This window comes from Homo sapiens, chromosome 2, assembly GCF_000001405.40.
Source record: "Homo sapiens chromosome 2, GRCh38.p14 Primary Assembly".
Taxonomy (NCBI): Eukaryota; Metazoa; Chordata; class Mammalia; order Primates; family Hominidae; genus Homo; species Homo sapiens.
The window spans coordinates 220,768,787-220,785,004 of NC_000002.12; the positions used below are offsets into that span (position 1 = coordinate 220,768,787).

The following is a 16,218-nucleotide window of genomic DNA, read 5'->3' on the forward strand; positions in this document are numbered from 1 at the left end:
CAACCTGGCCAACATGGTGAAACCCTGTCTCTACTAAAAAAATACCAAAAAAATAAAATAATAAAATTAAATAAAAATTAGCCGGGCATGGTGGCAGGCACTTGTCGAACCAGCTACTCAGGAGGCTGAGGCAGAGAATTGCTTGAACCCAGGAGGCAGAGGTTGCACTGAGCCAAGATTTCGCCACTGCACTCCAGCCTGGGTAACAAAGACTCTGTCTCAAACAAAACAAACAAAATTATAAAACTGTCTTCATCTTGCTTCTTTGCACTAAACATGCTTCTGAGATTTATATATGGAAACCAGTAGCTCCATCTTGTTCTTGATCACTGTGGTGTGTTCTTTTATTTTCCATAATGTATGTATAGATTTTCTTACTGTTTGATATTTAAGTTGTTTTTATTCTTATAGCCATGGTAAGCAAGGCTTCAAGAGATATTGTTGACAAGTCTCCTGATGCATATGTGCAAGGATTTTCCTGTAATGTATATTTGAAATTGCAGCCGTGGTTCCTAGAGCAAACAGGTTTTTAACTTACTAGGTATTGCCAAGTTGTTCTCCAAAGTTTCTCTCATTTTGGAGGACAATTTTCTTTTGCAGCGTCAGTGACTATTCCTTCACAATTCATCAGTTTATGGTATTTTGATACTTTAAACAAATCTTGCCAAATGAATAGTTACACAATAACTTTTCTTTAAGAAAAGGAATAGATTCTGTTTTCCTGATGCCTTGTTAGATTGTGTACACTTTCATGAATGATTTGCCTTTGGTCTGACTTTTCTGTAAATTGCTTTTCTAGATCTTGTGTCCATTTTTCTACAAGGTAGCTTGATTATTTCTTATACGTACATAGGACAATTTTCAAATTTGGGTACTAATCCTTTATTTTACTCATTGTGAATATTATCTTCAGTTTTTGCTTATTCAACTTTGTTCATTATTCCTTTTATGGGAAGCATGTTTACATTTTAATGCAGCTAGTCTTAATTATCTATATATTTTTTGAGTTATGCTTTCAGCTAGGAAATACATTCCCATCAGAGTTTAAAAAGAAATTTTATTAAACATTTATTTAATAATTGTAAAGTTGTTTATTTCCTATTTTGTTTTTTAATCTCTTAAAATTAATTTGGAGATATAATATGAAGTAGAAATTTAATTTAATTTTTTCTGTGAAGAAAACGAGTTGGGAGGCTGAGGCAAGCGAATCATGCGGTCAGAAGTTCGAGACCAGCCTGGCAGACATGGTGAAACCCCATCTCTACTAAAAATACAAAATTTAGCTGGGCGGGGTGGTGCGTGCCTGTAGTCCCAGCTACTGCAGAGTCTGAGGTAGCAGAATCACTTGAACGCGGCAGGTGGAGGTTGCAGCGAGCCAAGATCTCACCACTGCACCCCAGCCTGGGCGACAGAGTGAGACTCAGTCTCAAAAAAAAAAAAAAGAAAGAAAGAAAAAAAAAAGAAAACGAGTTGAACTAATTGGCCTAACACCATCCCTCACGGATGTGTGATGCTGTTTGTCACATCCCAAATTCCGAGACATGCTTGGTCTTTCTACAGGCTCTGAATTCCACTGCATCTAGTCTTTCATCTGTTCCTCCATTAATATACACTGCTTTAAATCTGTAGCTCTTTTAACAGTTTTTACTCTCTGGTAGAGTAAGTCTCCAAACCTTCTTTATTCTTTTAAACTGTCATGGCTGCTATTGGAACCATATTCTTTAATATGAATTTCAATAATAGTGTTTTTAGTTCCATCAAAAATGTGTTTGAGATTTTTATAAAATATGTAAATATATAGACTAATATGGAGGGGAGGATAGATATGATATTAAATATCTCTATTCATAAATAAGAAATATATCCCTATTGAATCAAGGGTTTTTTAGGAGCTTTTAATTGTATTTTGTACATTCTTCTGTTTTTGTTCATCTTTTGTTTGAGTTATTACTAGGCTGCTTAAAATTTTTTGATATTATTTAACTGTATGTTTAAAAAAATATTTTAAATGACTTTTTTATGCTTATATCAATTCCAGCAATCCTAATGAAAATTCTTATACATTTTAATTCTTTGTTTTAGTTTCTTTTGGATTTTCTTTATAGAGAATTGTCTCTTTATCATCATGCTCATTTCTTTTTCTTTATTATTAGGTAGGAAAGAACTGCTAGTAAAATGTTGAGTAGAGGTGATACTAAGCATCCTTATCTTATTCCTGACTTAATTAGAACTGCTTTTGAACTCCATCATTAAGTACTGTTTGATATAGATAAACTTACTAGGAAAAGAAAGCATATTCAATTAAATATTGAAAGCATATCAATTTTATATTAAATAGAGCAATTGCTTTTGCTATGACAGTTGAGATGATTATATGATTTCTATTTCCTGATCTGTTAATGTGGTGAATTACATTACTATATTGACATGTAATACCATTGTTGTATGTTTTGAATAGTTGAATGTATGCATTATATATACTCAGATATTTTACCACAACACATTGTTGAACTTGGTTTTCTAATATTTATATTTTTCCATCTACATTCATAATAAGATTGGGCAATAATTTTATTTTTGAACTGTCTGTTAACAGATTTAAGCATCAAAGATATACAGATACATACTCTGAAAAGCATGGGTCTCTCTCTTTTTCTCTTCTCTCAAATAGTTCAAATAAGACAGAATTCATGCATTCCTTAAAAGTTCACTGAGATGCCAATAACACAGTTTGAAACTGGTGTTTTGTGCATTGTGTGTGTAGAAAAAGTATTACTATATGGAAAGTAACCATTTACTATTAATTCAATTCTTCTAATGGTATTATTTGTCTAACCATTTCATGTTTATCTATTCTATAATAAATTATAGTTAATTATGATTTTGTGTAAAATTTTACAGTTACCTCAGTTTGCAGATTTATTGGCATACATTTTTTCATAGAATTCTCTTCTGAATCTTTAAATTTCTACTATATTTGAAATCATGGCACCTATGATAATCATTGATATTGCTTCTCTGTGCCTTCTCTCTTACTTTCTATAACTGAAGCCCAACATTAGCATTCTTGGCTGTCATTTTCATTATTATGTCCTTCTTCAGTGGAAATGTCCTTTCCCCTCCAGGTGTTAATGTGTCTCCTCTCTTGTCCATCTCAAAATATGAGAAGACCTGGTAGGCACTTACAGTTTATGAGATTTAAAACAATTTTTTTTTCGTAGGGATATTTATAGCTCAGATGAAACAAAGAAGGATGGTTTAGAAGAAGGGATCTATAATAGAAGTTCCAGCCCAGGAAAGTCGTGGGCATTTGTGGGTTCAGAAATACCTTCAGAACTTCCCTAAAATCATGTTATATAAATAATTTCCTCTGACCAAAGGCCACCTCTACCATTAATAAAAATCAAACTTAGTAATATGTGTGTCTGAGAATATTTTGCTCGTATGGTTTGAGAATATTGTTCAGAAGTATAACAAATACATTAAAATAATTATTTGGGAATTTCTTACATTTAGAATCATTCTATGTGCTTCAATTTTTGAGCTTTATAAGCTTAAAATACAGTAAAAAAGTGATAAGGACTTATTTTAACTTCATTGTATATCTTTTAAGCAATAAAGTATGGAATAAGAATACATAAATATGAAATTATTTGATGAGATCATATGCCAGAGAGTCTTACCAGAGAGTTTTCAATTTTGTTGAGCTTCTCACTGCCATGAGAAAATGACAAGAGATTTCAACAATTCTCCCAGAAAAATATTTGCATAAAATTTGGAGGTACAATGATCCTAAAGCCCAAATCTGAATTCAGGTGATAACCTCTGATTCTGGACCATCCAATACGTTTTAGCATATGGGTAAAACTAATCCTGAACAATCCCAGAAATAGAACTGTTAACATGTTTTACTGTGGTAGTATCTTGTTATTAACAAGTTTTCTGAAATCAGATGTGTGAGGTCAGTGATATCAGTTTTAATTCAGGACCGTTAAGCAAAACAAACAAAAATAGCAGATGCCTTTTTAATGCAAAACATAAAATTCATGATTTATATTGGAAAGATACTCTTTCTTCCCAGGTTTCCTTACCCTCCTGTCCTCACATATGTTCTTTTGCTACTTACTTGAATTAGATGACATTCACCCCCAAGGATCAGATCTAATATTCTGTAAGATTTTTTTTCTAAATCTCTTTTGCACTATTAGATTTTTGCAATTTTAGAGTAAAATAAACCTCAAGGACATAAGGCCCCCTGAGAAATAAAATTTAAATCTATTTCTGGTTACTATTTTGTGACTCCCAACTTAAACATATTCTCTTTCTTCATTTTTTGTCTCTCTCTAGCACACAAAAGCCCAAATTGGCATATACTTATTTTTTGAAGTTAATGGGGTGAGGTATATATTAGATTTTTTTAAGCATTTGGGAAGAGTTTCTGGAAAACTTTTAAGATATTTAAGATAGTTCATGAGTGTTGAAAATCACTATTTTTATATGTTATGTATTTGTATTAAACCAACTCTTCTGGAACATTGCTTGGGTAAATTAATGTCATTCTGCACTCTTTTAATGCTTTCAGAATTTTATGGCCTTTTACAAAATGGGATAACTCATTTCTATGTAGCAGATAATTTATTTTACCCATTAAAAGGGGTCTACAGGGTCAAAAGTGATGTTCACTATAATCTAAATAAATCATTTGGCTTTTTACAAATAATATTTATTAAAACCTCTATCAGAAATGGAAAAACAAAATGTAAAGTTTCCAAACAGATCTTCATCTTACTTAGCAAATAATGGAACATTAACATGATTATTCATGAGACTTATTCTTGAAGGGTATTCTAATTAAAGGATATACTAGAGTTCATGAGTTTCAATTTGGAAGGAAAGAAGCTCTACTTTTCATATAAATATCTTGATACTCATTAGGAATAATCATTGAAATGATTTTCTAAAATGAGGGATTATGTTATAGTTAATGAAGCTTGTATTCAACAGGGCCTATTAAGAAAAGGCAAATATCCTCACTTATAAAATTTCCCAGGATGTTAAAAGATGTAGCGTTGCTCTCACTGCTGTGCTTGTGTGCTGACAAGCAGAGCCTGGCTTCATCTGTACCCACTGCATAATGTGGAGGATTTATGTAAATGATATTAGTGCAGGTGCTAGGAGACTGTGGACAATTCCTTTCAGGGGATCTCAATAAAATGACACTGAGCTAAATCCTTGAATTCGATAAAGCAATCAGCTGGGCAAAGCTGCAGTTCATTCTCTTAGATACATATAATATACTTTACTTTTATAATGCCATAAATCAATTTAGTTTTTATGTTTTTATGAAATGTGCATGTGTGTGTGTGTGTGCATGTGTGTGTTCTCTCAGTTTTTGCACTCATGGCTGATCTTCTCAAATAAAGAATGAAAGCTTGTTGTCTGTTGCAGTGATGCTCACAGGCTGCGTAATCAAACTTGTAAGTCCTGCAAACAGTCCTGTGTGATATTGGACATGTTTCTCTAAATTCCCAATTTCTTCATATGTACAAAGTTGGTCTACTCTATTTGAGCTACTGTAACAAAATGGCAGGAAACATGGCAAACTGGGTAGCTTTATTTCTTACAGTTCTGGAGGCTGGGAAGTCCAAGATCTAGGCATCAATAGGTTTGGTGTCTGGTGAGGACCCCCTTTCTGATTCATAGATGCAGCTTCTAGCTGCATCCTTACATGGTGGAAAGGGCAAGGCAGCCCTCTGAAGCCTCTTTTATAAGGGCAATAATCATATTCATGAGCGCAAAAGGGTAGGGTGACCAACAATCTCAGTTCCTCCAGAATTGAGGGGTTTTCCTAAACACATACTAACACCAAGAAAATCCCAGGCAAACTGGGAGGACCTGGTCACGCTAACAAATGGGAAAGTAAAGATATCTACTACGAGTGGTGTGCTGGAACCAGCTTCTACTAGCTAGGAGACCCAATTGTTAAATAGTCAGGAATTTTGTGGGCCAACTTTAATATACTCAGAAATTTTGTGAGCTATTGGTAGCTTTAAATTATCTATGCTAGGAATGTTTACACCATAGTAATAAGCAGATGCTACAAATTAGGGTATTTTTTTTTCTCCTCATAGAGCCTGTTTACTAGCATGTCACTGCCTATCACACAATAAGGCTGGTGAAATTCTATTGAAATAATCCATGTAAAATGCTCAGTGGAGTGCACGATACAAGGTAAGTGCTAATTCAGCGTTGTTGATTAGTAATTTATTATTATCCCTATTAATTATGCATTAGCAGTCAGTAAATATCTGTTAAATTGAACTGAACTGTGCCTGAAGTCACTCTATGTAACTTATTTCAATGAATTAAAAAAAAGTTCAGAAGATAGACTAAGTTTATCTTCTAGGTCTCCAAACTGGTGGTTTTGTCCTCCCTCTTCACTTTCTCTACATTTCCTCTCTATGAACCTAAAAAGGCCCTTGTCCCCCAGTCTGGCTAGGCCAGTGTCTCTAGCTCCAGGAGTGTGTAAGAATTATACATTGCTGCTGTGCATGCATGGGGTGAAGCAAATAGGGTTATGTTAATTAGGTCTCTTCCAAGAGGACACAATGAAGATGGCCCCTCTGTTGTGACTGACACCACCACCACTTGACTTGCCCTTGCCCACTGACCAAATCTTCCCATTTCTCTGACATCCAAAGCTGCTAAAAGTTCTTATATTTAGTCTTTGAATTATAGAGTTTCAGACACCTCTGTCCGTGCATGTCTGTTACGTACTTGGAAAGGTAACACACATATTAGATCATCAACAAAGTGCAAATTAGGTTATCAAGTTAACTCTAGCAAAGATCCTTGCTTTAAGGAAATTGGCCCAGGAAAGTGGCCAGATGAAGTTCGGAAACTGGAATGTTACAGGAGAGGGCAGGCCTAAGGGGAAAGGTTATAGACATCCAGTAGGCAGCATTGGAAAATTCAAGTTCTTGGGATGAAGGAGTGAATTAAAGGTGTGGAGGGCAGAGCTGGTACATGAATAAAGCCAAGATAAATAAAGACACTTATGCATCTACAATTCTTGATTTTAGGGAAGCAACCCTCTGAATGTCCAGATTGTAGAAAGAAGTTGTAGTGAAGAGAGGTAAAATGGTTTTAAGCCTCATCATAGCTTTGTCAGGCCAAGCCTAGATCTTCAAGCATAAAAATGTGTGACTAAGAGTAAATATGTCTAAGTAATTTAACCTCTGGTTTATTAGGAATCCTAAGTTATGAAAATGAAGACACTGCCCGGACTGATACAAGACAAATGTATCCTAATCCCAATGTATTAATCATCATTTAAAGGCTTTGTCCCCTCTCTGGCTTTGTCCAGCCACAGTCAGCAGGCATTCCCTCCTAGGGAGGAACAGATCAATCCCTTAGGATGTTGATTTGTGCTGAAGAGCCCTACTGGTCTCCCAGCAAGCTATTTCAAGGAGAAGCAGTGTGTGAGCCAGTCAGTTCCTTCTCAGTGTTGAGGGATTTCCAGCTGATCGCTCTGATTGCTCTCACAGAGATAATGTAGCATCATAAAAGGGGAGTTTCTGTAGCAGCTTACTTGCAATCAATGGCTGCCTGTGGTGTTCCAGCTTTCCTTGATGTGAATGCTAGTTTCAGTCTTCTATACAGTTTAAGAGAGAAAGGGAAGGGATGGCTAAGGGCTACAGGTGAATTTCTGTCCAGACCTAGGTTTTCAAAAGTGCTGGCATAGTAAGAGGGACCAACTGGAAATAGCAGCCACCAAGGTATTCCCAATACATGGACATGCATTAGACACCCCAGCCCTTGTTTTTTTTTTTTAAAGATTCAATCTCTCTATTGAACGATATGCTCTTTCCTGTATCTGTTTTTATTCTTGCTCTCTCTTCAATGGTCCCTTGGCATTTAAAACTATTGACTGAAAGCTTTTTTCCTTTCCTCAAGTCAATTCACTTCAGAAAGTATCTACCCCCGTGTCCCCAGCAGCACATTTCATCCACACCACGAAGCGAACAGAAAGAGACCTAAAGCTTGGTCTATGTGCTTCTGCCACTCACGTCTGAGGTGAGTATCCACTGCACATTTTTTAAAGAAGTGAAACATTAAATAGTTACAACATCATACATGATGTTAGGAAACGAAGAATTTATTGTGGATAAAGAATTGAAGCAAATGTTCTAGACCTTTTTGGGAATGCTGCTAATTATAAAATAAAAGATAATGCAAAGAAAAGAACAAAATTTTAGGCAAAGAAAACTAGAGCATTGAAAGCACAGGGTTTGGAATAAACAGCATGTGGTGTTGGGGTGTTTGTGTGTGTGTTGTTTGTTCTTTCATGCAACAAATATATCCCGAGCTGCTACATGTGCTGGCATTGTTCTAGGGAGCTAGGATGCAGCCTTGAAAGGAACAGTCATTGGTCCCCTGCAGTTCATTTTCTAGTAGAGCCAGTAAGTAAATGAATGATTTTTCAAATATTAGAGATTAGTACAAGTAAGACAATAATACAGGATAAAGTGACAGAAAGTGTCTGGCGGGGGGAGGATGCTTAGAGTTAAGATGGCCAGGGAAGGCTTTTCTTAGTTGATGGCAATGAAGAGAAAACAAGACCTGTGGAGCGGAGGCAGAGCTTTACAGACAGAGGGATCAAGTCAAGGCTGCAAAAAGGAAACATTTTGGCAGGCGAGAAGCAACCCTGATTCTACATTAGAATTACCTGCAGAGCTTCTACAACTATATCCCTAATTGGGCCCACCCCCAGAGAAATTGAGTTAATTGTTTTTGGGTGGTGCCCAGACATGAGTATTTTAAAAACCTTCTCAGGAGATTCAGATGTCAAGGAAAGCTGAGAACTGCTGGGGTGGAGCGCAGTGATTCTCAAACTCAGGAATCAAAATCGTTGGGGAGGCTTATCATATTGAGATGGCTTAGCCCCATCCCTAGAGTTTCCGATTCAGTAAGTCTGGGGTGGGGCTCAAGGATTTGTAGTTTTAACAAGTTTCCAGCTGGTGCTAATGCTGGTCTGGGAACCTCACTTGAAAACCAGTGGGTTAGAGAACAGAAACAGGAGCCAGTATTGAAAGAGGGTGTGAGCGATATGGAGGAAAATAGAAGGAAGTTGGAACTTCTGTCCTGTAAGGGAGAAAATACAGAGCACAGCTACAATCACAGAAATGACGAGGGCAGAGGCAAAACTAGATCATTCTGGACAACGAAGGAGAAGATATACAAAGCAAAGTCCAGACACAGATGGCAGGACAGAGCAGAAACCAGAGGAACTGTTCTGGATGAGCTGGGTAAGACACGAATGTGGAAAGGTAGACACACACACAGAAAAGACAAGCACAGAAATGGCTGGGGAAAGAGGGACAACTGGAAGGACTATTCTGGAGTTTGAGAGAATGGCCAAATGTAGAGTCATCGGCACTTATAGATGGAGTTTCAGCGATCTTGTAGAGCGCCTTTAGGTAGGTAAGTGAAACTAGAAGTGAAGGCAGGCTGCGAATGAGAGAAAAGTTGAGGAGGTAGAGGGAAATCAGATGCATATCCTTGAAACCGCTGTGGATCTGCTAACTCATTCAGGGAGCAGGCAGGTAATGGAAGTCAGTGAAGGGGGTCAGTTGTGAGCACCTGGAACAAGCATGCTTGGTCTAAATAGATAGCAGAGACAGCTCCGGGTGATTGTGGTCATTCAGGATCACAAGTCTTACTGCCCTGCTAAGGGTGCCAATGTATGCAGCTCTTGAAAATGGGCTTCAATTTGTCTTTAAGACATCACGCTTGCCAAATCTGTGTATACCAAATCAACTGGGTTTGTGGGCTAGTTTGCTACCTTTGGACTACTTAGTATCTATGATCCTTTATATCTCTCAATTTTCATCATGTGAGTAAAGGATTAGAGATGTCACCCAGGAGTGTTGTCCAGTACTTCAAAAAAAGAGAAAGACAGTTGCCTTACACATGTGAGTTGCCTTATGTAAGCATAATGGGAGTCAAGAATAGTCACTAACAGGCTGCCTTGATCAAAGCATAGAACTAAGCACAAAGAAGATGTACTTTATATCACACTAATGGGTCTGTTCTCCGTTTGGAGCATGAACTATAAAAAATAGCAAGCTTGATCACTTGTATGTCTTTTCCTTGAAGAAGTGTCTGTTCATGTCTTTTGTCCACTTTTTCATGGGGCTATTTGTTTATTCTTGTCAAGTTCCTTATAGATTCTGGATGTTAGACCTTTGTCAGATGCATTGTTTGCAAATATTTTCTCCCATCCTGTAGACTGTTTATTCTGTTGATAGCTCCTTTTGCTGTGCAGAAGCTCTTTAGTTTAATTAGGTCCCACTTGTCAATTTTTGTTTTTGTTGCAATTGCTTTTGAGGACTTAGTTATAAATTCTTTCCCAGGGCTGATAATCCAGAATGATGTTTCCTATGTTAGTAATAATGAGAAAAATGCAAACTGAAACCACAATGAGATACCATCTCACACCAGTCAGAATGGCTATTATTAAAAAGTCAAATAACAACAGATGCTGGTGAGGCTATGGAGAAAAAGGAATGCTTAGACACTGTTGGTGGGAATGTAAATTAGTTCAGCTACTGTGGAAAGTAGTTTGGAGATTTCTCAGAGAACTTTAAAAAGAACTACCATTCAACCCAGCAATCTCATTACTGGGTACATATTTAAAAGAAAATGAAACATTTTACCAAAAGACACATGCACTCATATGTTCATTGCAGCACTATTCACAATAGCAGAGACATGGAATCAACCTCGGTGCTCATCAGTAGTAGACTGGATTAAAAAAAAGTCATATACACTGTGGAATATATGCAGCCATAAAAAAGAACAAAATCATGTTTTTTTGCAGCAAACCAGATGCATCTGGAGGCCATTATCTTAAACAAATTGACCCAGGAATAGAAAACCAAATATCACATGTTTTCACTTATAAGTGTGAGCTAAATATTGGGTACTCATGGACATAATGATGGCAACAATGACACTGGGGACTACTGGAGTGGGAAGGGAGGGAGGGAGCAAGGGTGTAAAAACTATTGGGTACTATGCTCACTACCTGGCTGACAGGTTCAGTTATATCCCAAACCTCAGCATCATACAATATACCTTTGTAACAAACTTGCACATGTACCCCCCTTATTCTAAAGTAAAAGTTAAAATTATATTAAACAAATGATAAGGATACACTAGTCGGCATTCAGAGAAAACTGGCCAGGAATGTGAGGCTCTTCTTTTTCCAAGTCTAAAGAGAAATTGTTGAATTACTTGGCTATCATTCAACAATGAGTCAGTGGAACTGTTTTCACATTTCGAAAGAATGTCTTTAGAAAGAGGAATTTAATTTATTCCAACCAGCACAAGTGGACTTTGTGATAGAATTTCCTCCCATTTAATGAGTGTCTTTCCATTGTCAGAACCATCTGTGTGGGAGTGAACTGCCCAGGGAGCAGGAGCTTCCCATCTCTGGAAGGGACCATACACAAAATGCACAACCACCAGAATTAGTGTTGAAGGAACTCAAACATGCAGTGGATTTTTGTAAGACGACCGTTTATGAGCCTGTAATCTGTGTTTTTATTATTCTATGTTTCCTCGCAAATGAACAAAGTTTTGAAGAACTTGCGTGAAGTCAACCCGAATATGTGCCCCAACGATCCTGTAGCTCTGGTTTGTCACCATCACTTCCCTGGCTAACTCAGTAAGCCACAAGGCATGAGTGACTGCAATTTTGGGCCATGTTCAATCTGAACACATTCCCGGATTCTTTAACACGTTTGCAACATCAAAGGATAGGAAGCAGGAGAGGCAATTAGACGCAGTGCTTGGTAATCAAGTTGAAATCCTTTTACTACTTGTAAGGAGCATTTATTAAGCCCCTGCTAGGTACCATTTCTATGCTAAGCCTTTCCTTAATTTATCTCATTTTGTCTTTTTAACACCCCTATGTGGTTGCTACACTCTCAGTACCTATTTAACACTTGAGGGAAGTTAGGGCCCCAAATCAGAGCCAACAAATGAACCCAGGTCTCTCTGAGATCCATACAACCTTGGACAAGTCATTTAGTCCCTGGAAAAATTAGTTTTGACATTTTTTAAATGAAGATACTCTTTTTAGCTTGGAAGTTTGTAGTTTCAAGTGAGCACCTCCATGTGAACTTTCTGTAAATTTTAACGTGCAGATATTACTGTAAAAATATGTGAATCCATGAAAAAGAACCTCAGTGTGTTTTTCTATTGCTACATAGGTAGAAGAGGTAGAAGAAGATGTCTTGTGATTATGGACTTTTTGAGTTAGCAGTGATTTAAAACCTTTTATAATTCTATGCTATGCCCTGGAAGTAATGAAGAAAAGAATTAAAAAGACAAACTGCCACGTAGACAGATCTCAGTATTTAAAAATCAAGCTTATAATGGGATAAGCAATTGTCTCTATGTGAGACCTGGCAATTTAAATGCTAAAAGTAGAAAAGCTGGAAAATAATATTTACATTTTAATGCAATATTCAACTAAGTGGCTCCTCATCTTTAAAATATTTGAGAAGCCTGATTTTCTAGAATATAAAAATACAAATTATATTGTATTTCTTTGAACAGGAGTGGCTGTGTACTAGTAGTGAGAGTGCACTAGGTACAATTTATCTCAATTAAAATCAGCCACATCTTCCTTGATCTTTATTGAGTGTGTGTGTTTCATTTAAATAAAGTCATAATCCCTTCTCCAGATACACACACCCTTTCACCAAACTCCTTAGAAAATGAGCTCCCATTTTATTGTGTTTATGTATAAACAGAACAGTTATTTGGAAAAAGTATTTGAGAGTCCACCTATCTAGCTGACAATGATAAGTTCAATTTGTGGGTTTTTCTTAATCTTCTTGTTCTCATGCTTTGAAAAATATCTTCACGATTAGAAACCATTTCTGTATACATTATTAACATATTTGACACTACACGAGGTAGCCTATGTTTGTATCACATTTCCTTCTGAGAAGAGCAGCTGGTTCCTTTTGCTGCTTAGTAAAGACGAAGGTTATTTTTCTCCGTCTTAAATGTTTGCCTTCTATCAGGCCTACCCTTGGGTTAGTTCTGGCCCTATTCCCTCCTTAAAGCCTGAATCAAATACTGACTGGAGTTTGGTTTCTTTCCTATCTCTACAGCAATTACCGTTGACACTACCTACTAAAACACTTACAAGACAGCAGGACTCAATTGTTTTTCCCCTCAGCAGAATACAGTAGTGAAAGAGAATCCTTAAATGGATGCCTAATATGTAAAATAGGAAGAGCCTAGCAGGGCCTTTCTGTTACAATCCATTAGACCTGAGTTAGGAACCTCTAGTGAATTCTTATAATTTTATGTTGCCTTGACATCTATTTTCTTTCTTTCTTTCTCTTTCTTTCTTTCTTTCTTTCTTTCTTTCTTTCTTTCTTTCTTTCTTTCTTTCTTTCTTTCTTTCTTCCTTTCTTTCTTTCTTTCTTTCTTTCTTTCTCTTTCTTTCTTTTTTTTTTTTTTTTGATGGAGTCTTGCTCTGTCACCCAGACTGGATGCAGTGGCACGATCTCCGCTCACTGCAACATCTGCCTCCCAGGTTCAAGCGATTCTCCTACCTAAGCCTCCTGAGTAGCTGGGATTATAGACGCCCAGCTAATTTTTCTATTTTTTGTAGAGACAGGGTTTCACCATCTTGGCCAGGCTGGTCTTGAACTCCTGACCTCATGATCCACACACCTCAGCCTCCCAAAGTGCTGGGACATCTATTTTCAATACAAGTTTAGCTTTTTCATGCCATAAGGGCTCAGTCACCCTTCACAGTTTCCAGTTCTACACTACACCCAGATGGCTCAAGCCTATAGCCAGAGATAAAAACTTAGAGGCATCTCTTTCATCTTGTTTCCCAGAAACTTCCTTTAAAGGGACCATTCAGGTGTTTATTTTTCAATTGGTGCAAAAAAAAAAAAAAAAAAAACGCAATTACTTTTGCACCAACCTAATCTTTGCCCATGAACTTAAAGTGACATGCATCCTATTCCCTTATATATACTGCTAGTTGCCACAATCTGTGCACTCACTCACTCTCTCTCTCTGACTCTTCATTCCTGCATCACGTGACTGGGACAGTCCTTATTGCCAGAGCAATGGTCAGGCAGTTGCACACGGGTCATACAAGAGCTACAAGGGCATCTTCCAGTATAAACAAGTTTCCCGTGTGAGGGACCTCCTTTCATGGGTTGAAAAATGAGGCATTAGGCTCTCCACCAGGTCCAAAAGTATTCCGTGAAAGGCATACTTCCACACTCATGTCCAGGTCCCTTCGTTTTCTGTTAGGGGAGGGTTGTTGGTCACCTCCATTTAGCTGGGGGCTCTCAAAACAGAACCCCTTCTGTATCTGACCAGCTGAGGCCCTCATTGGAACTCCTGATTCCACAGAGAAGGATTTGAAAACCACTAGAAAAAAAGTGACAAATTCTAGTTTCTACAGGGGCAAGGCAGATAATATAAAGGAAGGAAATGTACTGGTGGGATCTGGGCTACACGAGGGGAGCATGCTCAGTCTAAAGGGACTGCTACATCTCACACTAATGTCAAGTAGAAACTAAAGGCCCGGTCTTTCCAGATCATTATCATTCTTCAAGAGAAGACAGATTTCCAGATTGCCTTTAATATGATATTCTCAACTTACGAATATTGGCAATAAATTTATTTTTATTTTTTATAAAATGATGGATAGGCAAAATAAAGCACATCTGCTAGCCAAATCTAGCCTGCAAACTCCCAGATAGTGACCTCTGCATCTTTAAATGTAGACCTGAGTAAAGAAAAGATCATGCTTGTTATATTTGTTACTTTGTCTTCAGTGCCAAATATAATAACCCCTGGTGCAGAGCAGGTGTTCAAATTTGTTGAATGAAAGAATAAGTGATGAATGGCTAGATTGTCTAGACCACTGTCATAATGTTTCCAGTAATTTCATTGTTTTCTGCCTTAAGTGAAGGCAATGTGGTATGATAGAAAGACACCTGGTAAGAAGAGAAGGTGTGGTTCACAGTATAAATCTGTCTACTCTTATTTTACTTGCGTCTTAGTTTGCTTATCTACAAAATGAAGCTGAGATTAGATGACTATATTATTTTTTTCAACCAATACTTCAAGGAGCTTTTAAAACTTTGGTAAGAGATGACTCAAGTGGCTTCTGAAGGGATGAGATGAATGCCTGATAAGGAGAGTCTTTGGGATTTAGGGATTCAGAAGGTTACATTTGCTTTTTGGTAAATGATAGCAGTATAAACATAATTATTTTTCTACTTCTTTCCAGAACCTTGCAGAAATGACAAGAAAGGTTTGATTGTTCGATTTTGTAATATAAGGCATAAGAGAACAGACTAAGAGACAGGCCAAGAGAGCGAAGAACAATACAAGAGCAAAAAGAAATGAGAAACTGGGGACTTAGCCAACTCAAGAATGTTTAATTCTAAGTCAGACTGCTACTTTTTACACCAAGTCAAGTCTTGTAGAACTCTTTGATTCTTTGGACTATGTCCATGTATAACCTTTAAAATGTATTTTAAAAGGATACATTTTAGCAGAAAGTTCTAATGTTAAAAATATTGTAAACCCCTTGAATAGAAAGTCCTCCAGGATTTACTATTCTATGATTATATCCAGCACAGTAGGCTGCATTGTATGGAGTTGTGGGTTTTGTACATTCCTCTAAGTCCTGATACAACACATGTTAGATGGGCATACAGCTTCAGATTCATAAATGCTTCTTGTCAAGACCACATTGTTCTGGCATCTTTACACACAAAAATCAGAAGGAGAGGCTGGGCACGGTGGCTCACACCTGTAATCCCAGCACTTTGGGAGGCTGAGGCGGGTAGATCACGAGGTCTAGAGATCGAGACCATCCTGGCCAACATGGTGAAACCCTGTCTCTACTAAAAATACAAAAATCAGCTGGGTGTGATGGCGCACTCCTGCATTCCCAGCTACTTGGGAGGCTGAGTCAGGAGAATCACTTGAACCCAGGAGGTGGAGGCTGCAGTGAGCCAAGATCGCACCACTTCACTCCGGTCCAACAGAGCAAGACTCTGTCTCAAAAAAAAAAGAAAAATCAGAAGGAGAGTCTGAGGAAAGACACATAGCACCTTCCCTGGTAATGAGTTCTGTGAAATTCTGTGCTTTTAA

At 37.4% G+C, this 16,218-nt stretch overlaps 1 long non-coding RNA gene across 5 annotated transcripts in view, besides 1 other annotated feature; it reads left to right on the forward strand.

The window, feature by feature from the left end:
• The window catches only part of LOC105373896 (uncharacterized), an 86,007-nt gene that overhangs the window by 28,502 nt on the left and 41,287 nt on the right, over positions 1 to 16,218 (forward strand). For all 5 annotated transcript variants that reach the window (XR_001739890.2, XR_001739891.1, XR_001739893.1 and 2 more), the window contains 2 exons: positions 6,132 to 6,231; positions 7,957 to 8,076. This is a non-coding gene — a long non-coding RNA (uncharacterized LOC105373896). The remainder of the gene's footprint in view (positions 1 to 6,131; positions 6,232 to 7,956; positions 8,077 to 16,218) is intronic.
• Positions 12,955 to 13,496: an enhancer, noted in NCBI's record as "NANOG hESC enhancer chr2:221646461-221647002 (GRCh37/hg19 assembly coordinates)". NCBI's record gives its function as "activates a minimal SCP1, AML or CMV promoter by ChIP-STARR-seq in primed H9 embryonic stem cells {active_cell/tissue: H9 hESC(primed)}" and the evidence as "EXISTENCE:reporter gene assay evidence [ECO:0000049][PMID:30033119]".